Below are 27,175 nucleotides of genomic sequence, written 5' to 3'. Positions count from 1 at the left end.
CCTGTGCAATACAGCAAGACCCCATCTGTATGGAAAAAAGAAAAAGAGATTGATTTAATCTTACCTAGTGGTAGAAAAAATTAGAAACATTTTGTTTCAATTCGGGAACAGGACATGAATGTTCATATGTGATGACTGATTTATAATTTTCCTTTCTCATACTCCCCTCACTTCACCTGATTTTGGTATCCAGATTGTAATTTAACTTTATAAAAAGAGTTAAGAAAGTGTTGCTGTTTTTCTTTTTTCTGGAATGGATTAAGATTAGCATATCTCTTCATTTAATGTTTGGTAGAACTTGTTAGAACAGTCTGAGTATGTTTTTATCCCTTTCCCCTTCTTTTAAGGGAGGTAGATTTTGGACTACTGAGTGAGGTATATGAATTTTAAATTATATGATAGATACTGTCAAACACACGGTTCTCTAAAAAAGTTGCACCAATTTATATCACTATGAAGACTGAAATGTTTATCAATCTGATATAAAATTTTATTTCATCTTAATTTTGAATGCATCTCTATGAGCTAAGGTGACCACAATTTCATATATTTATTAAATCTTTCTGTATCGACTTGGCTATTCTTTTCCAGTAAATTGCCTGTTTACTTCTTTAGTTCATTTTTGTCTTGTTCTTATCGATCTGTATGAGATTTCGGTATATTAAATCAATACTTTGTGTTTATAATAAATGTTGCATATATCCCCCATATTTGTTTTATATTTATGTAATTTATATATTTATGTTCTCTTATATACAAATTTATAATTAATCTTTTTTTCTCATTTCTACAATCGAGGTTTTCGGTCTGCTTAGAAATAATGCCTTCTCAACTCTTAGAATACCAAAAATTCGCCCACGTTTTTCTTATAATTTTATGACTTAAAAAATACAAACAGCTTATTAATCTAGAACACTTTTGCTTTCAGTGATCCAGGAATCCAGCTAAAATTGCAAAATACCTAGACAATCACCAACATCATTTATTAAACAATCCATTCTTATATGCTGATTTTAAAATGTAATCTTTAGAATGATAAAATTTTAAAAAATCATCGTTTTTCCAATGACTTTGTAAAAACTGATAAAATGAGATTCACTGAATGCTACCCCCTTTAAGTAAAAGATTAATGGGAAATTGTATATTTACATGATCTCAAAGTATCATCCCACAGATTATTTACTAATTGCAAAGGGAAAAATATGTACTTTTACAATAAAGAGAGGTTCACCACCTAAACACCACTGATACTGAGACCATTTTATGATAATGATAAGATACAATGTAAAGTGCACAACACTGCTTACCAAGTACTCTTGCCAAAAATGTGTAACTGGAAACTAGTAAAACCTTAAAGCTAATTTCTACTTGATAGGAAATACAGAAAACAAATTAAACAACACCAGCAGAAAAGAGTGGAGTTTAGAATATGAAATATTCTACAACAAAAGTAGCCAAACTCTTCAAAAACCAAAAATTAGTGTCATGGGGTGAAAAAGGTGTAAGATTGCTTTAGATTAAAAGAGCCTCCATAAGAGATGTAAAAATCAAATGCAATGTGTGAAAAGCTAGATTTGAACATGCTTTGAAAAGATATTAAAAATATATTTAGGACAACTGGATTGGTAAAAGTCAAATGTATTCTGGATATTAGATGATACCACAGAACTGACCTTAATTTTTTATATAGGAGAATATTCTTAGCAGATGTACTTAAGGACAAAGTGGCAGGATACCTGTTGGTGAAGGGGTTCATTGTGCTAATCTTAGAACTTTTCTGCATGGTTAAATTTTTGTAATATAAAGTTGAAAAAAAATGCAACCTTTCTCAATAGTCTAAACTGTCTCACGTCTGCATTCTCTCTGTCCTACTGACCTATCCACTTTTTCCCTGCCAGACTTTTTTCTTTTTCAAATAAAATTATGTTTTATTATTGACAGATAATAGAGGCACGTATTTCTGGGATACATGTGATAAATACATTCATATAATTTGTAAAGATTGCATCAGTGTAATTCAGATATCCACCACCTTAATATTTGTCTTTTCTGTATGGTAAAAACATTCAAATTATCTTCTTCCAGCTATTTTGAAATATAAAATAGATTGCTGTCAACTACAGTCACCCTACTGAGCTATTAAACACTGTGTGTTATTTCTCCTATCAGACAGTATATTTGTCCCCATTAATCAAGCTCTCTTCAACACCTCCCTCCTCTACCCTTCCCAGCCTCTGGTAACCACCAATCTATTCTCTATCTTCTTAAAATCCACTTTAATTGCCACATATGAGTGAGAACATATAATATTTGTCTGTGTTTTGCTTATTTCACTTAACATAATGACCTCTAGTTCCCTCTATGTTGCTGAAAATGACAGGACTTTATTCTTTTTTATGGCTGAGTAATATTCCATTGTGTATACATACACCTTTTCTCTATTCATCCACTGATGGGGGACTTAGGTTGATTCCATATTTTGGCTATTTTGTGAATAGTACTGCAATAAACATGGGCGTGCATCTCTTCAGTATACTGATTCCCTTTCTTTTGGATACATACCTACTAGTGGAATTGCTGGATCATACAGCAGCTCTATTTTTAGTATTCTGAGAAACCACCATACAGTGTTCCATAAAGGCTGTACTAATTTACATTCCCACCAACAGTATATGAGGATTCCCTTTTCTTCACATCCTCACCAGTATTCACTATTACCTGTCTTTTTGAAAAAGGCCATTTTAATTAAGGCAAGATAATATTTCACTGTGCTTTTTGTTTGTATTTCTCTGATGATGAGTGATGTTCGGCATTTTTTGCTGTATCTGCTGGCCATTGATGTCTTCATTTGAGAATGTCTACTCACATCTTTTGGCTTTTAATCAGTTTCTGTTGTTATTGTTTTGCTATTGAGTTCCTTATATATTCCTGATATTCTAGTTATTAATCACTTGTCAAACAGATAGTTTGCAAATATTTTCTCCCATTCTGTAGGTTGTCTCTTCATTTTGTTGATTGTTTCTTTTGCTGTACAGAAGCTTTTTAGCTTGACGTAATCCCATTTGTCTATTTCTTCCTTTGGTTGCCTATATTTTGAAATCTTAAACAGAAAGTATTTTGCACAGACCAACATCCTGGAGTGTTTCTTCAATGTTTTCTTCTAGTAGTTTCATGTCTCAGATTTAAGTATTTAATCCATTTTGAGTTTATTTTTCACAGCATTATTTATTGAAGAGACTGTCCTTTCCTCATTTTATGTTCTTGGTGCCTTTGTCAAAAGTAAGTTGCCTGTAAATATCTGTATTTATATCTGGATTCTCTATTCTGGGATTGGTCTATGTGTTTTTATGCTAGTATCAAGCTGATTTGGTTACTACAGCTTTGTAATGTATTTTTAAGTCAGGTAGTGTGATGCCTCCAGCTTTTTTCTTTTTCCTCAGGATTGCTTTGGAAATTTGGGGTCTTTTTTGGTTCCATATAAATTTTTTCTGTTTATGTGAAGAATGTCATTGGTATTTTGATAGGGATTACGTTGAATATAGAAACTGTTTTGGGTAGTACTGACTAAATTTTTTTATTTAGAATAACTTTAATATCTGGGTGAGGCTAATCCCTGAGTATGGTTTTTAGTTCTTTATCTGAGCATTTCTAAGAAATGACACAATACTGAATAGGTCCTCAAACTACATTAAAAACCTAAGTTAATTTTGTGAAAACACATCACATTTCTTAGAGATAAAATTTACATTCTGTTTTACACACATTCATGTGTATATGGATGTGCTCTTTTGACATTTTTCCTCCATTACATGTAAAATGTCCCTCAGACTTTTGTGTACTTGAGTATAATAGTATTTTACATATATTAAGAATCTACATATACACATAGATATGTATGTTTGGCACTCACACTCAATTCAGTAATTTTCTAAGTGTCTATTTCTTTTCTTTGAGATAGGTCTCAATCTGTCACCCAGGCTGGACTGCAATGGTGTGATCATGACTCACTGCAGTCTTGACCTTCTGGGTTCAAGCCATCCTCCTGAGTAGCTGGGACTACAAGTAAATGCCACCATGCCTGGCTAATTTTTTTTTTTTTTGTAGAGACAGGGTCCCACTATGTTGCGCAGGCTGGTCTTGAGCTCCTGGGCTCAAATGATTCCTCTGCCCCAGCCTCCTACAGTGCTGGGATTACAAGTGCATACCACCACACCTGGCTGTGTCTATTTCAAATGTGTCAAATTTGCTTCCCAGTTTCTCCTTGAGTTCGTGTGTAAAAAAGCTCAACCTAATATTTCATAATCTGGTTTTGGGAAACCAGAGTTAGCTGTTTTGATGGATGACAAAGTTAAAAGTTTATACATTAATAAGTTTATTAATGAATAAAGTTTCAACTTCATGCATAATAAACAAGAATACACATGTAGAAACTAGTGACTGAAAGCAAGTTTTTAAAATTTGCTGTTAATTAAGGAGGACAAAAATAAAGATGTTTTTTATATTATCCTTTGCACTTTTCTGCTTTAAAAAATTTCTTTAAAACATACAATTTATACTAATAATAAATCAATTATTTAGTAACCATGAAATATATCTCCAGGCAATATAACCTTAAAAAGACATCATAATATCAACATTATGACATTAAGAACTAGTAATCAAGTAAGAACTGGTAATTTAATCTCAAATTTTTGCATCTAAGATTAATTTTCCTTTACTGTACTACAGTAAATTTTTACTACAAATTATTACAGTATAGTAAATTTTTCATAGTAGTCATCCCTCAGTATCCATGAGGGATTGGTTCCAATACCTTCTGTGGATACCAAAATCTGCAAATGCTTAAAAGTCCCTGATATAAAATGCATAGTACTTGCATATAGCCCTATGCACTATACAGTACTTTAAATCATCTCTAGATTACTTACAATGCCTATACAATGTAAGTGCTATGTAAACAGTTGCTATACTATATTGTTTATGTAATAACGACAAGAAAACATGTCTGTACGTGTTCACTACAGACTCAATTTTTTTTCCAAATATTTTCACTCCGTGTTTGGTTGAATCCATGATGCAGAAACCATGTATGTGAAAGGCTGACTGTATCTACTTTACCAATTAAAATGTAATTGTCCCTTGGCTTAGTGCTAATGTAAGAAGAAGGAGCAATTTTTAAAAACGCAGTTCTTCTTAATTTCACACCTAAATATACTTAGTTATATAATAACTGAATCCAAAAAGCCAAAATGACACTGCTCCTTTCACCTCCTAAAATGACAAATTTTCAAATGGTAAGTGTAACATTGTTTTAATGATTTAAGCCATATCTTTAAAAAGGTTTACTGACAAGTATACAGTATAGTATTTTAGTTTGTGTTTAATAATTATATTTTAAAAAACAAATTTGCTTGGAATTAAAGCACTTAGACATTCCCAGTGAAGTTACAAACAACTTTCTTACCTTGTTGCATCTGTGGATGTGTTGTGTAACTTGAAGGATGGGAATATGGCATGTATCCTGCAGGGCTTTGTGGGGCGTATGGACTAGGCACTGGGCTATTTTGCTGTGGCATAAATCTGTTCCCAGAGCTTGTCTGTGGTGGCACAAACCGGCTAAAACCCAAAACCCAAATAAAAAAATATAAGGAAATAAAATAAACACGCTATTCCTTGAAATCTGACTGTCACAAAGTCCTCTGATCTCTTAGTTTATATATGTAAAATCTATGCAAACAGAAGAATCTTGCAAAATAGTCAAATAACATACAAAAATTGTTCACAATTCATAATCAAAGAGTTACAATAAAAAAGTTTTTAAAAACAGGTAATTTGTTTACTTATATAAAAGTACCAATCTGTTTAAGGTACTTAAAGCCATGCTCCGTAAATCTTCTTATCTCAAACACATTAGTTATTTTAACATTTTTTGTCTGTATGAAATTACATTACTAAGATGGTAGCTACTTCAATTAGCATATCAGACTATTTCCATATACAACATTTTAAGGCAAATGCAAAGTGGATTACTATTTAAGTATTTCAACTATTTAAACTCTAAATAATCCACCATTACCTAAATGTATGAACCATATATTCACCAGCATATTCACCATACAAGACAATATTTAATAAACGATATATACATATATTACCTGGAGGGGCTATGTGAGATAGTGGTTTGTTGATAATTGGAAGATGCAGGACTACTGTGCATGGAATTCTGAGAAAGTTTATACTGAGACATCATCATTCCTATGCAAAACACAAAAATACAGAACGTTATTTTCTTCTAACAGTAAAGTGTCCTTTAAATAACTGAAATCAGTTATTCTTTCAAACATTCCAGAGATTTTTTTGATCAATGTTTTCATTTCAAAGAGCAAAATATAGACGCTGTAAAACTGTAAATTTCAAGAACAATTTTATTACAACACCATTTTCCATAAAACTAATCCAGGACTAGAAACAGAGATTATAATATTTTAAAAAAATTTACTTGCTTACTCAATATTCTATTATTTAGCCTTAGAATTGAAAAGATTTTTTTAAAAGTTGTCTTATCTAACCTCGCACCTAACACAATACACTTCCTTCTACAACGGGACTCAGGGTAGTTTTTATTACATGAATATTTTATCATATACATCTCTCATGCTTGGGAACTTAATTTCACAAAGCTATTTGTATTATCATGGTTCAGACACAGGTTTTGAAAAGTACTTTATTTATGGGCCGAAAGTTTGAATTCCTGCAATTTCCACCTGAATGTCTTCTGAAGCAAAACAGAATGTACCTATTCCTTCTTTCACAATAACTCTTTGTCACATAGTAGGGATTAACGGAATATTTTATTAAAAAATAAAAACCTGTGAAGAGCATTCTGGTTCTTACATTTATTTCCAAGCTAGACATTATTTCTCAATTATTCACATGACATTTCATTATATGGGAGACACAGAAAAATTCACTTATTTAGACATTTCAAAATCAGATAAAAATCTACAAATAACACCCTGAATTTTCTTATGATTTCTATAGCCAATCTCTTTTTTGGCAGCTGCAAGCATCAAATTGTATTTCCAAATTTCATTTCCTGCTGTTGTTATAAAAAGTGGCTTTCACTAGAAATATTCAAACAGAAGTTGATTTGCTAAGAGTACTACAAAAGAGATTGTAGCTGAATGAAATTAGGTTTCAAAATCGCCTCTAAGTCTACCATTGAAGGGTGTTTTCTTAAGTATGTAGTCTAAATTTCAACTTCTGACTTTTCTTTTCCAACTCAAACTCAGCACAGAATTGTTTTGCTCCATAGCTTTAATAGCTTAATTACTATAATTATTGTTGCTGGAGGTTTTTTTTTTTTTCTTTTTCTTTTGGAGGGAGATGAACACTCAATGAGACAGGAGTTAAAAAGCTTTTCCCCCCTGAATTAACAGCCATCACTGGGACAAACTGGAATTACTAGTTTGAAAGCAATGGCTTTCTAAATAAAACGGGTAAATGAAATTCTAACAGTCCTTTTCAATTAATTCTAAGTTCCAAAGAACTATGATTAAAGTGATTTGCATTTTATTACAATTTTCTCCACATGCATGACTCATATTTAAACTTACCAACCCCAAAATCAACTTTTTAAATTTCTATTTTATTTTTATTTTTTATTTTTCAATGAGACAGGGTCTCTCTGCATTGCCCAGGCTGGTCTTGAACTCCTGGGCTCAAGCAATCCTCCTACCTTGGCCTCCCAAGTGCCAGGATTACAGGCGTGAGCCACCACGCCCAGCCAACTTTTAAAATTTCAAAGCCATATATCACCAGGAAAATGCTTTAAAAAAAAAAATAACATGCAATTAATTGATTAATTTTAAATGCTAGTTTATGCTTTTACAAAGTAGGGTATACAGAAATCAAACAATATTTTGGACTAAAAAACAAGTATATGTAGTATAAAACACAAAATATGTGACTGAGAGGTGAACACTCTAAAAGTTTTTATCAGAGTGATTTACTACCCAAATACTCAAAAATGTAAGTTGCAAAAATGTAGTATTAGTAGCCTTAGATTCATTTATCCAATATTAGATTTACTCACATTCTCATAAAACTAATACTCCTACTCTATTAGTCTTTCTTCCACTCAACTCTCTTTCCACATTTTCTTTCAATTCCAACATTTTTCCAGAAAGCCGTCATAACTCTAGCTTCCTTCATTATTTATATCTGTCTCCTACTATTGCAATCTAACTTATTAGTTCTGGTGAAGTCAGAGCCCTGTCGTGCATACCTACCTTCAACTTGCTAAAAGGCAAGTCGGTCAGAAGCATCCCCATTATGCATTTTGAGGAATCAATAGTAACTATGCAATTGCTTTCAAAATACCATTCAAACAACACAAGTACACAGAATCAGCAAAGCAATATTATTTAAAGGAAACAGAATGGGAAGCATCATGGAAGTGCTGCCAACAAAGTAAACCAAAACCAAAATGAATTTGGCAAAATTATTTTATTTATTTTTTCTTTTTGTTTGGAGACAGGGTCTCGCTCTGTCGCCCAGGCTGGAAGGCAGTGGTGCAATCTCAGCTCACTGCAGCCTTGACCTCCTGAGCTCAAGCGATCTTCCCACTTCAACCTCCCAAGTAGCTGGGACTACAGGCGCACACCATAATGCCTGGCTAGTTGTTGTATTTTTTTGTAGAGACAGGTTTTCACCATGTTGCCCAGGCTGGTCTTAACTCCTGGCCTGAGGCAATCCACCTGCCTCAGCTTCCAAAAGTGCTGGGATTACAGGCGTGAGTCACCATGCCCGGCTGATAAAATTCTTAAATACAATTATTTAATTAACAAAGTTGAACTTTCTGAAGTTGTCCAAGCTATTCCTGCCCTATTTTAATCTTGAGAGCCAAACAGGCACTTGGGCTTGTCAAATTCAGTAAGCTTGAACAGAACAATGCTCTTAACCCAAAGGTACTCCATGACTACATAAAAATTATATCTGTGTTGGATGTAATATTTTTATTATTTTATAATACCATGAATCAATTTTTCTTTAATAATAATACTTAACCAATTTTTCTGTTGCTAAGGCAACAGGAGTATTAAATCAATTACTAGAAAACCATGAATATAATCACAATCAGTATTAAAACTCTATATACCTGCTACAATGTACATGTTCAAAAGCTTTGCAAATATTTATTTAATTAATGAAAGACTTATTTCAAATTAATTCTGATTTTCTAAAACAAAAAAATTTTTAAGCTGAGTAAACTGATATATTCCAACATATTTAACAAAATACACTTAAAGCTTTGTCTAATTCTCAAGGAATTTAGTTACATATTAAACTACAAGAATCTTATCAGTTTAGTTTCCTTCTTGTTCTTGGCTTGACTGAAGGCATAAACATCGCATTCCTGATAGGCCAGCTTGTTAAAGAAGACACCTGGATTTAAATATGTATAAAACAAGTTTGATATGGGAATTCAGTTATTAAGAAACTCACCACTTTGTACATATCTGTTCTGCATGCTTTTCTCCCTGAAAACATTAGGACTCCTTGCCAGGACGGCCTGCAACAAGACTGGTATGTCACCTTCTGGGTCATCACTGCCAAGGTTATCTTTCAACTCTCTGGCATTGAGAAAATAAGTATCAAAAATTAAAATGGTGACTGATTCTTAAGAAGACTTATCATATAAAAGTAAATCACACTGGTATGGCCAACAATATGAATTTTTTTTTTTTTTTTTTGAGACGAAGTCTCACTCTTGTCCCCCAGGCTGGAGTGCAATGGTACAATCTCAGCTCACTGCAACCTCCGTCTCCCAGGTTCAAGTGATTCTCTTGCCTCAGCCTCCCGAGTAGCTGGGATTACAGGTGCCTGCCACCACGCCCAGCTAATTTTTGTATTTTTAGTAGAGACAGGGTTTCACCATGTTGGCCAGGCTGGTCTCTAACTCCTGACCTCAGATGGTCTGCCCGCCTCGGCCTCCCAAAGTGCTGGGATTACAGGTGTGAGCCACTGTGGCTGACCCAACAGTTATGAATTTTCAAATATGCTATCCCTGGGAGAAATATAATTATCAAAAATAACAGAGAGGGATTCTTCTAAGGACAATCTTTTTCTTCATTTTACTTTACACAGTCAAGAGAAAAAAAGCCCAAAACACTATTTTATTGAACTATGAGTTTAATAATTTCCAAGTAGTTCTAAAATAGAAAAGAAATACATTCTATTCTAAACTATTCAAAATAATGGAAGGGTAGACAAGTGAAAGTTACACAAAAAGTTGATATTTGGTATTGGAATATATTTTCTTACACCTGAATATGAGTGAGTCTGACTTTCTGGGAATGTCTTACAAATAAGATACTGTTGCCACACTGATTAAGACAAGACCCAGAGGTTATGTAATTTTTCCATCTTACATTGCTTTCTCAAATAATGTCATGGTGCGGGAAAAGCGGAAACCAAACAGCAAATTTCAATACACTTCACAGCAGCAATTTTCAATAAACTTCAATATAAGTAGCAAATTAAATTCATAACCATGGGAGATGATGATAAAATTAAGTATAGGCAGTGTTTTAACTTTATATTATACATGTCAATGTTCTACTCATTGGATCTAACCATGAAGACCTATAAAGATGGTGTCCAATGATAAGACTCACTACATTTCCAGGGCAATCTTACAGGAGCTCTCCATAAAATAAGTCCTTATTTTACGTGTGCTATTTCCTTTACATCTTTAAATATTTGGTGAAAACTACTGAATAAGTATGTACAAGCATAAGAAGTGATTTAGAGGCTGGGCACAGTGGCTCACACCTATAATCCTAGCACTTTGGGAGGCCGAGGTGGGTGGATCACCTGAAGTCGGGAATTTGAGACCAGCCTGGCCAATATGGTGAAAACCTGTCTCTACTAAAAATACAAAAATTAGCCAGGCATGGTGGTGGGGGCCTGTAATCCCAGCTACTCAGGAGGTTGAGACAGAACAATCACTTGAACCCAGGAGGTGGAGGTTGCAGTGAGCCGAGATCGCACCACTGCACTCCAGCCTGGGCAACAGAGCAAGACTCCATCTCAAAAAAAAAAAAAAAAAAAAAAAAAAGAAGTGATTTAGATATTGCTGAATTTTTGGAGTGACAAAATATTAGTAGTATTATACTTCTTTCTGATTTTAACCAATCATTTCTTAGCTTCTCCATTAGAAAATCCATTTAGTAAGTATCTCACCTTAGAGTCATCAGCTTTAAAAATGCCCCAAAAATATGTACCGCATCTAATGTAGATATCTCTCCATTATAATGTGTTTATCCTCATTCCCCTACATGATGAATTTTTAAATTAAAAAAATAAAGAATGCGAGGTTACATGAGTAACATTGTGTGGTGGAATATGAAGGGATAAGAATGAGAGATTTTACTTTTTACACATTTTTGTGTTGTTTGTATAAATATGTATTGGTTTTGCAGTGAAAAATAATTTTTTTTTTCCCCAGACGGAGTCTTACTCTGTTGCCAGGCTGGAGTGCAGTGGCGTGATCTCGGCTCACTGCAACCTCTGCCTCCCGGGTTCAAGTGATTCTCCTGCCTCAGCCTCCCGAGTAGCTGGGACTACAGGCGCCCGCCACCACGCCTGGCTAATTTTTTTTTTTTTTTTGTATTTTTAGTAGAGATGGGGTTTCACCATGTTGGCCAGGATGGTCTCAATCTCTTGATCTCGTGATCCACCTGCCTCGGCCTCCCAAAGTGCTGGGATTACAGGTGTAAGCCACCGCGCCCAGACAGGGATATAGTTTCATGACCAGATCTCTGCACAAATGATGGATCCCCCAAGATAAGTTCAAAAGAGCTGAAAAAATATCCATAGAGCTACATGGGTCAGAATTATTATCTAAAAATAAATATTGCCTACTTAAATCTCATTAATCTATTATTGCAATAAGACTATATTCTCCCTCGGATATGGATATTTTTAAAAAATAAACTATGTATCTAAAAATTTCTGAAATAAAACCAGGAATACGGATTCTCTTAGTAAGGCCAAAACTTTTCACTTATAGTAGATATAAAATTGATCATACTTACATGTGATCTGTTGATACCTGGTTGAGGCTATGGACAAGCTGTGAAACCAAATTGTCATCCCTACAAGCCAAAAGGCAGTTCACCTCTTCTGCTATTCGTGCATTAAAGAGAAGGCTCTTTGTAGTTGTAGCAGGTAAAGGAGATGGAAGAGGCAGCTGGTTCAGGACTATTTGGAATAAAATCAGATTATTAGAAATTGAGTGACTATAGAAGTCTCTTTAGTGCTTATCTGTATTTTGGGATTAAAAGTAAGTTATAAATATCAATGTGACAAATTATTAAAAGGCATTCCTCCTCTTCCTAACAAACCTCAATCAACCCTACAAAACTTCCAAAACATCACTTGGACCATAATAGATTATACTAGTCTCTAGGAATAAAATTCAGCTCCCTTATATTCATCCTTGCTTTTCATTTCTTAAATTTTATTAACAAATGACTAGCGAAAAAGGCATGGTTACAAACTAACTTCCAATGTAGCAATTCATTAATCTCATTTGTTCTTGTTTATAAGATTTTTCAGAATCAATAGTACGCTCATACAAACAAATAACAATATCTGACTCTTCATAAAGTAGACAAGTAACGTTTTTTAAAAGCTTAAGAATATACAAATAAATACCTCACTTTAGCAAGAAAGCATTCATAGCATAGAATTCTGTAAGAATATTAAAATATTCTTCTAAATTCCAAATTCCTAGTTGTCTCCTACTTATTCTCTTCTAATAGCAAACAAAAGAACATAAATGTTTTATAGTAGCTTAAATTCAGCCGTTTAATCTCTGTTCACCTAACAAATTTGTTCATTTGTCTAAAGGTTAAGAAAGCTCACTAAAATATCAGGTGTCTTTGTTTTTGGCTTAATTTCTAATCACCTATACAGTATAATTATCATGGTGCTCAGCCTCAATAGGTACCAACAGGATTCTCATTAATAAAAACACAGAAAATAAATTATTACTTAATGAACAGGGCTTCCTGGAAAGACAAAATATTTAGGTATAGCAAAGATCATGGGGAGAAAAACCAAAAAGAAATTCCTGACAGTATATCTGATTTTGAACTCCTATTTATGCCTTACCTACAACAAAGTGATAATAAAAACTAATGCCAGTTTCAAAAAGTTTTCTTACCTGAGTAATGCTGACCCAATCACCTACAGCACTCTCCTGTTAATTTAGACCTCATAAACTAGTTACGCTTATTTCCTAAGCTCAAAGCTAACAGGCTGTTATCTATTTTACCCCACTAAAACCAACTGGAAATTCACAAAACAAAACAAAAGCCAGAAAAGTTGTATTTGGAGGATACTGAACATGGACAAAAACATTTCTTGAAGATACTTTCTCCTAGCTCCCTTATTATGAAGTCCCAAATCTTGCATAATGCTATCCAAAGAAAAGTATGCCATCCTCTCACTTTCTACCCTTCCCTCTCATATCTTTTTCCTTTTATTTATTCAGGTAGGATGACACAGTAACTAAAATTGTAGGTAGCTTTTTGTATCATTATTCAAGGACTAAGAATTATAGTTACAAATGCCTAACAAAAGAATAAATCTCTGAAAAATTGAGTTACATTAAATAAATCTCAAAAGACTGGCAATGTTCTTTAAAATTCTTAAGTCCTTAGAGTAAAATAGGCTGCTGATACCTCCAACAAGCTCCAACAGATTACTGAACATGACAACCAAAATAAACATCACTAAGAAGTTAGATAAATTAGGCTATCAATTTTTTTTTTCTTTAAAGGGCAGTTTCAGTTGCTATTTCTGTAAATGTGTTTTAAAGAACCTATAATAATTTTTAGAACAGTCACTGTAAAAATTATTGTTAACACACAGTAGAACTTAAATTAGATAAATTAACCAAACTTACGGTCTGTGAGACTAGCAATCCCCGCAAGAGTAGTAATGGGGACATGGGGCATATCCCCATTCATCCTGAATTTCTGGAATGGTGTTGCCTATAAAAGTACTTAGTTCAGGTGCCAGCTGTCATTACTTCCCATTTCCCAAACACTGCAACACACAAAACAGACAATTATTTGTAGAGATATGTCAGATATATTACTATCAGGAAAATGCTTAATCACTATAAAAAAAAGTTACTGCTTTGGTTTGTTCAACCTATATAATAATCATTTTCACATACCACTTATTACATGTTAAGCAATTGCAAAGTGCTTTGCACACATTAATTCAGTTCTCACAACAACCCAGTACAGTAGCTACTATTGTTTTTTGCATTTTACTAAGAGGAAATTAATTTACAGTGAGTTTAAAGTAACTAGTGGAGCAAGAATTAGAACCAAAGCAATCTGGTTCCAGAGTTTGTTTCTTAACTGCTAGGCTGGATTGCTAGAAAGGAATACTTGATCAACCTCGACAAGCACTGCAATTCATTTCCACATTATAAGCACGTTAAACATTTAACCTCATAATCTAGCTTCAACTTGCCTTTCTAGCTGTGTCTTTTATCATTATCCTATATAAACCACCCTCTCCAACCAACCTGATCTAATCAGATTCTCCCAAATCTCCCTTGTGTATTCCCATCTTTATACATTTCCTTAAGACATTCTTCCTACCTAGGAAGCCCATTCCTACTTTGGTCCAAACAAATCCTATAATTCTTCAAGATCCAAAGCACGTTCCCACGATTTCATGAAACCTCAAATTCATCCAAATGAGTATCTTAATCTACTCTGAACTTATGACATTTATTGCCCAATATTATTTTGGTAAATAATTATATATTCCTTTGTGACATCTTTTGAAACTTGTCTTGTTTCAATCTTGCACGATTACTTAATGTTCATGTACTTAGCTTGTCTTTCCAACTATCACTACATGTTTCTTACAAGTCACATAATCAATATGCAACCACATAAAGGACAAAGACGTGTTAACATTTTTAATGTTCCCCATACAAATGACTTAATTGACTTTAATGTTCAGTATTTATCATGATGGAATTCTCTCTCTCTTCACACACAGAAAAATATATGAAGACATTCTGTAAAACTGAACACTTTGTTATTCTGTTCCAAGCCCCCAAATTTTTCTCTTATTTTCAACATATGGCTTGTAAAACATTTATCTTTCCTTTAACAGTACTTGGTAAGTCCTTTTTTGTAAGTAGATAATATTTTAACAATGTACGCATTAATCAAAGATATGCTCTCATTAAGTGACTTTTACTTTATAAATTAATCAGCAAATGGAAGTCTACATCAACTAAACCATAGAGCTAAGATTAAAAACGGAATTGTAATTTCCAGTTTAAAAAACTTAAATATTTATCTTTTTAAGGTTGTATTTGCTAGTCAGTCACTTTTAAGAGAACCTCTTAAGTTTTTGAGTTGTAAACGTCAAACATTCAAATGACATAATACTGATAATTTCCCTTACTCATTATGTCTGAATGCAACATTGCAAATAGAATTATTTAACGTATAATTATACGGGTAGTTAAAACTAAGAATTTCCTTCACCCCAAACATTATTATTATAAATATAAGACCTATTGCACAAAGGTACATTAAACTGCTACACACACACATGCGCGCGCGCGCGCGCGCGCACACACACACACACACACACACACACACACACACAGTTTAACAGAGTTATAAAGTAAGCATCCATAGAATCATCATCCAAAAGGCTAGCATTCTGGTTCCTTCTAGGGGTATTAACTATCTTGTCTTTGTGGTAATCATTTCCTCTTTTTTCTTTACAGTTTAAAGACCTTTATATGTACATTCTTTACTAATTGCCAGCTAAGGGAAAAAACATTACTTTCCTTTGGTGAATGACTGACAAAATTTCTAGCAGAAGCCCACTGAAAGGAAAAGGCACAGGAAATAATATAGGAAAGCTATAATCACTACTAGCTATTCTATATTTGTCCATTTGCTACACTGTGAAATTACTAATTTCTACTCTTTGAAATTATTAATTTGATTATTTAACAATTACTAAAGAAATTTAATGCAACACTGCATAGTTAGTAGTCACATCAAGCACTTTAAAAAGTTGGTTGGAATTTAAAATCTGATAAAGGTCACCAAAACACAATGAATTTTTCCTAAATTTATGCTAATAAGAAAGTTCCAACTTATGCTCAGTAATTAATGGAAAGAAACCATTGAATGAAAATTACAGATCACAAAAATATCTTGTTATTCATATACAACTCACTGTTGTACACGTACACTGCCATATTCAAGCAGATTAAGTAACAAATGACTGTATTTAATTATTTAACTCAGAGAATAGGAACCTAAAGAGAGTAATATGCTAGAGGATTCTACTGTGGGCTACCTGACTGTTTTCTTAAGTCCCAGGTGAGTAACAAATAGAGCAGATCCAACCCCAGGCTAGGATTTTTAGCCTAAAAATGACTATGTATTTAGTTACCCATGTATGAACTAGAAGATTAATAAACCTAACCACAAGATTGTGCTTTTCACAGTGACATAAAAATGCACTGAAATGATGTCAAGTAAACACTGGGAGTAAAGGGGAAAGGGCGGGAGAGCAACAATACTTACTTGGTTTAAAGTGCTTTAATTACACGTTGATGATTACTGACAAAAATATTTGATCTTCACTGCTGAACTATGGCTAATTCCACTGGAATCCAAGATTTTGAAGAACAGCAGAGGAATTTGGTAGAAATGAGGTTACAATTTTAGCTAAAGTCACAGCTTTTAATAAATGTAAGTAATCTGTGGAAATGTTGCTACTTTATGTTGGAAGGTGACCAGGGTCCATCAAGAAATAGCGTTCCTAGGATTCTAAACATGAACAAACACAACCCTAACTAACTAGCTATGACATTTTTGGCTCTGGATTGAATAATGTTTTGGACTGCTTGGCTCTGTGAAAGTATATTGTTTTTCGTAAAACTGAAGCTGACATGTGTCTAGAATGAAACTGCAACCAAACTGTAAAGAAGATTTTAATGAGGGCTTTAAAACTGTCACTTAAGGTAGTGCTTTACAATCTGTGATTGGTGACTGATTAGTAGATTATAAAATAAATTTAGTGGGTTGAACACTGAAAGGGATGGAGGGAATAGAACTATAAGAGTATACTGCACAGTGCTTTGTGAGTTCAGGTAAAATGTCTTTAAAATTGTGGGTAAATTTTAAACCAGGCAAAGCCATCTGAGAGTTGCTGATTTGAAAAAATGGAAGAGTGAGGAAAGTAGCCCACCTCTAAGTGGTGATGAGAATAAAATAAAATAATGCACATATATCATTTGACATACCACCTGGCACATAGTAAGTGATCCAGAAAGTTAACAGCATTACTAAACAGATTCGGGAGAACAGATGAAGAACAGGAGTCTTTTCAAAACAAATAGAGGGAAAGGCATCTTTTCAATACAAATAATTCCTACTTCTAAAAGATCTATTATAAATAATTATTTGGCATTCCAGTATATATTTCACCACAGTATTAAAAGTCATAGTCTTGGGCCTGCTCACCTACAATTATTTAAATCATAAGGTAGGAGAAATAAATACTGGCGACAGAAAGCAGAAAAAAATTTAACTGTTGTAATACTAAGAACTAAATCGAACAAAATACATTGAGAAATCATTTATAAACTAAATTTAAGAATGGCTTGAGGTTTAATTAAAAGAATGCTTAATTAGGGGAAGATATTATAGTAAATTATCAATTTAGTCCATTCTAATGAGTCTGAAGGGAACTTTTAAGCATTTGCCAAGATTTTTAAAGACTCCACTTCTTCATTTAATTTCACAACAAAATTTACAACTTCCTCAAGCAAACAAAAGAAGTGCAAATAAAACAGTATCAGTAGGGATTATAATACTACTAAAATTGGGACAGATTTGGAATAAAAGGCATTCTTATTATCTGATGGTAGATAAACTTTCTGGCGGGCCACTTTGCACCCTATAACCAAAGCCTTAAAAAAATGCATCATTTTTTCTCAACAATTTCACTTTTAGAAATATATCCTAAAGAAATAATCATATACATGTTAACATACACATGTAGATATTCCCACAATATTTTTACTTTTAGTGATTAAAAAATAGAAATGGTAACTCATGTTTGCTCAGCACTTACTATGTAATAAATTTAATCCTCATTTAATCCTCATATGAACCTGAGGTGCTAATATTACAGTTCTATTTGATGAAGAATGTGATGTACAGAGAAGATAAATAATTTGCCTAAGGCCATACAGCTGGAGTCAAGATCAGGCTATCTGGCACATGGACACTTAAACTAACAGCTAAAATGTATAACAATATTATTAGTATAACAAATGATGGTACATCCATGAGAGATTACTATGCATACACAATCAATGTACTCAAAATATATAGCCAAGAAGAAAAATATTAATTAGGCTGTGTGTTTGAATCCAAGCTCCCCCACTTACTACATAACCTTGGACAACTTATTTAATCTCTGCACCTCAGTTTCCTCATCTCTGATATATGAGGTAGGTAATTATTATTAAATTTTGTTGTGAGGATGAAATAATATGTGTAAAGTTCTTAGAACTGTGCTGGGCATGTACTAAGTGTTCGTTAAATGCAACAAATGTTATTTGTTATATATTCTTCTGCATCTTACTTTTGCCATGTATATTATCTTAGAAATCTTTCATTTATACAGATGTCTCATTCTTTTTTAAATATTATTTTACGGGTTGATTGAAACATCCAGTTTAAAAGACTGTTAGTCAGTATACTACACCATGTGACAGTGAAGTATGGTGACTCTGGCTTTATGGAGTTAGGATCCTTACTTTATAACCACATTTAGTATGTGATTCACATTTCTATGGCACTTCAATTACTCTTACTTTCTTCTTGATCTGAACTATTGAGCAGAAAGCAAAATTCACTTTGAGGAAAAACAGTTTTGGATACAAGATTACAATGAGTAAGTAAACACCATGGTATTTTTTATGTTAAGTTCATAACCTTTCTTTTCAAAATTTGTACAATGACATTTTAGCAAATGAATCTTACCAAGCACAAACCCCTTATTTTCTCCATCTTTGAATACACTAAAAATGAGCTAAATACATGATGGATGTAAGATACGATTCTGGTAACTTTTCTCATAATAACTATTCAATCTGTCTTAGCAATTTAATAAATTGCTTTAAACTCTACTTTGTGTTGTTTTCCAGAAAAATCTGCTTCATCTTGTCTTCAACATAACTAAAGCATTTTCCTTTTACTATGCTTAATAGTTAACAGTTTAAAATGCTGTATCAGGTTACATAACAGTTCATTCAAACCTGTAAGTACCTCCTGAGTTATAAGTGGCACCCAACACAACATACTATTTCTAAAATATTTAGTCCTTCATGAGGCATCCAATTAATATTTATCTTATGTTACTGTGTCAGACACTATGTATGCTAGGCAAGCAAAGTACAATGGTTAACAAGATGGAACATCCTCTGCCCTTTAAAATTTGAGTTTGGCCACAAGAATGTGGTAAAGGGGGGTACATATTTCAGAGGGAGAAAAGAGAAAGAATCATTGAATTAAAGCCTGAACCAACTTTACAGTGATGATTCTATATTTTAATCTCTCAGCAAATTGGCACTAAAATAAAGAAGAATGGCAAAGATTCTTAAAATTCATGAAAAGATATTAAAGATATATTGCTAACTGAAAATATCAGTGTGCACATCATAAGCTCATCAACCAAGCTAAATACTTTTGCTTAAAACACATTTTCATAAAAATGATGGTCTAGGCATGAAAAAAAAGAACATTATTAAACCTTTAACAATGATTAGGGGTCGGGTATATGCTGAGATGCTGGGGAATTCTTATTTTGGTGGTATTTCTATCTGTACTCCTTGGACTTTTATTATGATTAGAATATTACTTTATGATTCAGGAAAATACTAATATAAACTATGATAAAATAAAAAAATTAGTAAGTCTCCTGTTGCTGCTATATGTACATAGATTTCTCTGAATATTTAAATAATTACCTATGTTAAGCATCTTCTATGAAGTATACTGAGCTAGGTGCTAAAGACTAATATAATATGCAAGGTATATTCATAAACACTTTAGACAGAGCATATGGCCAGAAAAGTCAATTGGAGCCTGCAAGGGAGTTTCTTACATAATGTTGATATCTTTTTCCACATCCTTAAGCTTTCAGTTAAGACTAATTTAATAGTGATAAGGAAGATAGGGTGGGGGAGAAAGAGACAGAGGATGGAAGCAGAAAGTTCTGTTAGAATACTGCAGTACTTACATGTAACCATGGTGTGATTTTGGACTTGTTCAGATTAAAATGCCAGTGTAATATCTAGTTGGAGATGTCTAAAGCAGGAAGTTGGAAATTCACAATCTGACAAAAGTAGTCTGAACTATAGCTATAGTTATGGAAGCCACTTATTGAGGGTTGATAACAGTTACATTATAATAGATCAGATAGGCAAGAAATAAAGTAATGCTGTAGGGGAAATTTTTTTTGGCACTTCTTATGTGTCAGATATTTATATATTCCTTTCCTTAATCATTCCAATATCAAAGGATTGTAAAGATTATCACTATTTCACAGATGCAAAAATTAAGTTTCAGGGCGTAAATACTCTCTCTACAGCTAAACAGGCAGCATGCAGCAGAAATAGGATTTGAACTCAGGTGTTTCTAATCAAATCTTATATTCTTATGTTTGCCTAAAGGACATAAAACTGAGAAACATCTACACTGCTATGGAAAAAAGATAAACCTACAGCAAACAGTAAAAGTTCTTCAAAGAACATAAGTGTCTGTTCAAGGTCTCTGAGCTAGTAATTCACTAGCCAAGACTAGAATATAAGTGTTTGATCTCTAGGTCAGTATTCTTTAAACTATATTGTCACCTTGTGTGATTATAACATTATTTTGAATAAACTGAAATTTCATATATGTGGAATATTTAGCTAATTAACACCTTTGCTAATGTTAATTTTTTTGGTGGTGGGGGAAAGGCTTAAAACTAAGTACATATATGTGTGTGTATATATATACATATACACACACACAGACACATGCATATATATACACACACACACACTGTTTTTGAGCAAGAAAAATTTAATATATAGAATTATTAAGTAGTAAAAAAATGGTTAACTAGAAGGTATAAAAAGGATTCTACAAAATACAGGAATGGCAAATACAGGAAACAGCTACCATCCACATGTTTAAGGGAGGAAAATATCTGAGGAAAATAAGAATTTGGAAAAGCATACTCATCTCACAAGGCTGAGATTCAGACCTTGTTATAGTGTGGCTGCAGCCCAGCCTGTTGGGCAACAGAAAGTCTGCTGGAGTCTTGGTGGGCCAGAAAACTAAGGGTAAATCTGTTAACATACTATGCTAAGAACTAAGGTCAGACCTTAGAATTGCCCTGCCACCACTTGGAGAGATGATTGAAAGCTTTAGTAAAAGAGGAGCAAGATTTCTGGGGGGAGAATGAAAAGGTTCTCCTTGCCCTTTGCTCAGCCTTCTCACATTAAAGAATTTTTTAAAAAGTTTAAACTAGTATATTTTTATTGTCCTGGTTTATATTACATTTAACATTATAAAACACCTAAAATCCTTTTAGGAAATAGGTGGGATATAAATGCTAAATAGCTACACAGGTTAAGTAAATAAATAAATAAATCTATGTGGTACTACTTACTATTTTAAATAGGTCAGTGAGTCCCTAGAGAGTGGCACCTCTCCAGCAGAATCCTTTCACTTCAGTCAAGCCACCTTCAGATTCCTTTTCCCTGCCTGCTATTCAAGAACAGATTTTTCACATGCTATTTAAGATACTTCTGAAAGGATCTTCCTCAAATCCTACCTCAAAAACAAAAAGTTCCCAATAAGCTGCACTGTAAAAATTCTCACTTTCTTTAAAACATTTCTGCTTTTCTAAAGTTTCAAATTACTTCCAATAAATTTTTAAAATGCAAAATAAAGCAAAGTTCTAAAACTCTCTTCAGACACTTGCTTTGCTTCTGGAACCCTGAGCTCTCTGCAGCCACCGCTGGATACCAATAATGTATATGCGTGTCCCAATAGTGTAGCTATATCACATATTTATAACGTGTATTAGAAGGATATATTTACACTACTGAGTACTATTATGCAGAGAAAGAAAAGTTACCACTAAGTAAATAAAGTTGAGATTTAGGGTTTCTCAAAAGCAGTTTATAAAATATGTGTATGTTTGCTGAGAAATAAAACAATAAGCAAAACTATACACATCTATGAACTGACTTTAATAAAACTTCACATAACTTTAAATAGTCCCAGTTTGTTATACAGTTAAATGGATTTGCAGAGGCCTGTAGTTAGTTATGCAAAGTTTAATTGTACCAAACTACACAAAACTACAAACTACCTCAGGAAAAAAATAGTCCTGTGTCCTGGAATTTGATTATTAAAAATTTATTTTTACATAGAGGCTACGGAGGAAATTTCCAAGCGCGTCTATGAATTGTTTGGATTCCTAGTCCACTCCCAACACACCAAAACAAAATTTATTTCTCATCTTCTTTTATATTGCAAAAGAAATAGCCTGTCTCCAAGTCCCTTATATAGGTTGAAACTGTTAAAAGACTGTTTCATACACAATTGTATTAGAAATGCAAAATCAAACAATGACTGTTTATTTCCAAATGAGGTTTAGGTTTTAAAGAACTTAACATTAAGATCTAGATCTCAACGTTTGACCAAAACATATGTGATGATATACAATTAATTTAGTCTGCAATATACAAGGAAAAGGCTTTTATGTGAAAATTACTGAATAGTCCACAAGAGGGCACACTTTCAACTTATGTAAATAAGTGAGAAAATTAAAAATTCAGCTTTGGTTTTTTTTTTACTAGCACATCAAAGATTGGCCAGATTCTTCTGAATTGATTATTCAACAATATTAGAAAGCAAAAGATCCTGAAGTGTGTGGTTTTTTGTTTAAATACTGAAATGGAAACTTTTTGAGATGTACATGTGAAATATAAGAAAAATTTGTGAACAAGACTTCTATATTAATATTAAATTATAAAAGTATGTAATAGTCTTTGCCATTTTGGTTCTGTTAGCCATTTGGAATCTGGCTGCCTTAAGAATCTTTTCAAGAAACTCTGGCTACTTTGATTTTTGATCTTCAGTTCTTCAAGACAATCTAGTACGAAAACATGGAATATGCTTCAGATACTTTAGGAAACTCTCCCAATAGGTAAGATCATTAATAAAGCACATGAAAGAGCAATCAAGAAAAGGTATACGTGGAAGAGATGCAAAAAATCATGGATCACTTATGTGTCATCTGCATACTGATCTCTATCCTGCTCTAACTCATTCAAAAATACCGTTTCAGCAATTCTCCTCTCTCCTGCATCATCAATTTTTCCACATATTGAATAATTCCAATCAGCATAAAACATATATATGCAAATAATTGTCCCTACTTCCAATAAAAACAAAACACAAAAAAACCCCACCATTTATCTTGACCCCTATGATCTCTCTCCAACAATGGCTTAATTTTTCTGTTCCCTTTCACAGCAAAATTCCCTCAGTTGTTTATATTCATCCCTAATTCTTCTCCTACTTTCTCTTGGAACCCACAACCATATGTGTTTTTATTCTCCATTCCACCAAATATCTTGCCACAGTTAGCAATTACATTAAAATTGCTAGATTCAGTGGGCAAGCCTCTCACCTCATATGATTTGACCTAGAAATCAACAAAGTTGATCATTCTCTCCTCCTTGAATAATTCTTTGTCTTCCAGAACAACACATTCTCCTAGTTTTTCTGCTGACTAAACTGGCCACTCCAGGATCCTCTTCTGGTTCTTTTTATCTTCCTCTCCGTACTCTACTGTTGAACTCATTCAGTGGCATGATTTTAAAATAGTGCTTCTGTGCTTCTGGCTCCCAAATTTGTATCTCTAAATCTGACTTTTCTCCCATATACTAGACTCATATCCAATTATCTAATCAATATCTCTGCTTTAGTACAAATTTATTCCCTCTTCCCAAACTGTTCTGATGCTAGGGTTTTTTTTTTATAGTTACATATGGATTTTAGAATCATCTTGTCAGTTTCTACAAAGCTGCTTGGAATATGATAGATATAGCATTCAATCTATGTAACAATTTGAGAACTGATAACCATATTGAGCATTATGATCTACAAACAATTTATATGTCTCCACTAATTTAGATATTCTTTAATTTCACTCAGCAATGTTTACTAGTTTTTGGTCTACGGTGCTTTCACATACTTTTTCAGATTCATTCCTAAGTAGTTCACATTTTTGATGTTATTATAATTGACAAATTTTTGATTTCCAATTGTTAATTGTTAGGATGCAGAAATACAATAGAATATTGTATATTAATTCTGTATCCCGAAAGCTTACTAAACCTTACTTATTAATTCTGGGATCTTTTTTGTACAGTTGGCCTTCCGTATTCACAGGTTCCACATCCATGGATTCAACAAATTGTGGACTGAAAATATTTGAGAAAAAACAATATGACAATAAAAAATACAACAAAAATTTGAAGTTACAATATAACAACTATATAGTTTTCTGTAATAGAAGGGTTTTTTTTTAACTAAAGATTACTGCGGAAAATTTTTTGTTAGGTACAAAATACTACAGTCTCACAGTGAGGTTAGCAAGAATTAAAACTTTTTTTCAGTCCTACTACTGCTAAACCATGTTTCCCTTGCGCTGTATTTGTGCAATTGGTTTCAAAAACTCAGAAAACAGTTCAAGAGAACCAAATATAACCACTAAATAATATAACTAATGAATGTGAAAAAAGATACTGGAATAGCTTTTTAGGGAGGATAATTTTTTTTTTTTTTTTTGAGACAGAGTCTGTCACCCAGGCTGAAGTGCAGTGGTGCGATCTCGGCTCATTACAGCCTCTGCCTCCAAGGTTCATGTGATTCTCGTGCCTCAGCCCCCCAAGTAGCTGGGGCTACAGGTGTGCACCACCACCCCCCAGCTAATTTTTTTATTTTTAGTAGAGATGGGGTTTCACCATCTTGGCCAGACTGGTCTCGAACTCCTGACCTCAAGTGATCTGCCTGCTTTGGCCTCCCAAAGTGCTGGATTTCAAGGCGTTAGCCACCGCACCTGGCCTTTTTTTTTTTTTTTTTTTTTTTTTAAAGACAGAGTCTCACTCTGTCACCCAGGCTGGCATGCAGTGGCACGATCTTAGCTCACTGCAACCTCCGACTCCTGGGTTCAAGCCATTCTTGTGCCTCAGTCTCCTGAGTAGCTCGGATTACAGGCATTCACCACCCCACCTGGCTAATTTTTGTATTTTTAGTAGAGACGGGCTTTACCATGTTGGCCAGGCTGGTCTCAAACTCCTGACCTGAGGTGATCCGCCCCACTCCGCCTCCCAAAGAGCTGGGATTATAGGCATGAGCCACTGCACCTGGCCAGGGAAAATAAATTTTTAAAAAGTCAACTTAGACCAATAAAAAACAGCTTTTTACTAAGGATCTAAGTTTTTAAATTATTTTAAATAGTTCGATTTACAGAAAAAGAAGCTATCAATGGAGAAAAGTGACTTGTGACTCATTACCTACAGCAACCTTTCTATGATTTCCACTGGACCCCTGCACTACATGACAAGTATACAAATTAAGGATGATGTAAATTAGGGATGTATTTTTTTCTAAATTAATATACTCATGGTCAATGAACTAATCATAACATGTAAGTTTTGATAACATCAAATACTATATCCTTTCTGTACATAAACTTTTAAAAATTTAGTTCTGTAATATCAATTTTTCATTAGAAAAATAATTTTTTAAATTTTAAGTGAGATTTCTGATTTATTTAATAATAGAGTTCCACAAAAGTAAACTTACTGTGAAACACAGATTATTAAAAAGAAAATGTAGTAGCCATATATCCCAGAGTAGAAGGCTAATGGAAACAGAATCAAATGACCATGTGTTATAGCATAATTTCTCAGATAATGATTCCAAACAGCAAAAACACCTGAACAAACTCTTTAATTAAACCTGAAACTCTCCAAACAGCATTTTTGGTGGTTTTTTTTTTTTTTTTGGTTCTGGGTTTTGAACGTCTTAGGATATTAACTCAATAGTGATTCCCCTTGTCCATAACATGTGATAGCTGATTGATTTTTTTTAAAGTACCTAAAGAAGATAATTAGGAAGAAAAGCTTTCTTATGTTACAGGAGACTTTTATTGTTGTTTAAGAAAGTGAAGTAAAATTGGGGGGTATAGAAAAGAGGGATATAGAAAGATCGGTTTCTAAAATTATGTTTTAACACAATTAATTATGACATATAAACACAAAAGCAAAACTAGACTTAAAAAGGAAACACAACACTTTCAATTAGAATACTGAATTGCCTGAACTTGAAGGAGTAGTTTAATCTCTCTTTACCTATGTTTTCTTATCCCTGGGAGATGAAACTTATTAAGTGATTAATTTCTTTCTTTTTGATTATCTGGTTTCCTGAATTTTTTTAAAAAAGTAAACCTTTATGTATTCACTATCATGCACTTAATACCTAACACCTACAATAGGGACAACCAGCAGTTGTTGAGGATACAGTGGTAAACCAAATAGACATATCCTCACAGACCTTAGAGTCCAGTAGGGGTGATGAATAATCACTACGAAACATATAATTACATATTTGTGATAAATTCCATAACAGTAACAACAACATTTGATGATACTAACATAGTGCTTAACATATGCCTAGCATTGTTATCTAAGGGATTTATATATTTTAATTCATTTAATCCTTATCTTATGAATTAGGTACTACTTTTATGTTCATTTTAAGACAATAATTACAGAGGCACATAAAGATTAAGTAACTTGCCCAAGTCTGATTCCAGAATCCCCACTCTTAACATTCCAGAGTCCTAGCTGTTTTTTATATGAAAAACAAAACAAAACAAAGTGCTGCAAGAGAAAAAAAGAAGGTAACTAAACTTACGTTTGGGGAGGGAGGAAATGTCTCATTAAGGAAATCTC

At 33.3% G+C, this 27,175-nt stretch overlaps 1 protein-coding gene across 7 annotated transcripts in view; it reads right to left on the bottom strand.

Moving 5' to 3' along the window:
• NIPBL (NIPBL cohesin loading factor) overlaps window positions 1-27,175 on the bottom strand; it is a 189,645-nt gene that overhangs the window by 98,675 nt on the left and 63,795 nt on the right. For all 7 annotated transcript variants that reach the window (NM_001438586.1, NM_133433.4, XM_017009329.2 and 4 more), the window contains exons 2-6: window positions 13,979-14,121; window positions 12,102-12,267; window positions 9,508-9,635; window positions 6,156-6,255; window positions 5,465-5,616 (exon numbers count right to left, since the gene is read on the bottom strand). In NM_001438586.1, coding sequence (NP_001425515.1) covers window positions 5,465-5,616; window positions 6,156-6,255; window positions 9,508-9,635; window positions 12,102-12,267; window positions 13,979-14,042 — 610 coding nt within the window. In that variant the 5' untranslated portion in view covers window positions 14,043-14,121. The remainder of the gene's footprint in view (window positions 1-5,464; window positions 5,617-6,155; window positions 6,256-9,507; window positions 9,636-12,101; window positions 12,268-13,978; window positions 14,122-27,175) is intronic.

This window comes from Homo sapiens, chromosome 5 (genome assembly GCF_000001405.40).
Source record: "Homo sapiens chromosome 5, GRCh38.p14 Primary Assembly".
Classification (NCBI taxonomy): domain Eukaryota; kingdom Metazoa; phylum Chordata; class Mammalia; order Primates; family Hominidae; genus Homo; species Homo sapiens.
Note: the sequence above shows the minus strand (reverse complement) of the source record. Positions and strands in the feature narration are given on the sequence as shown.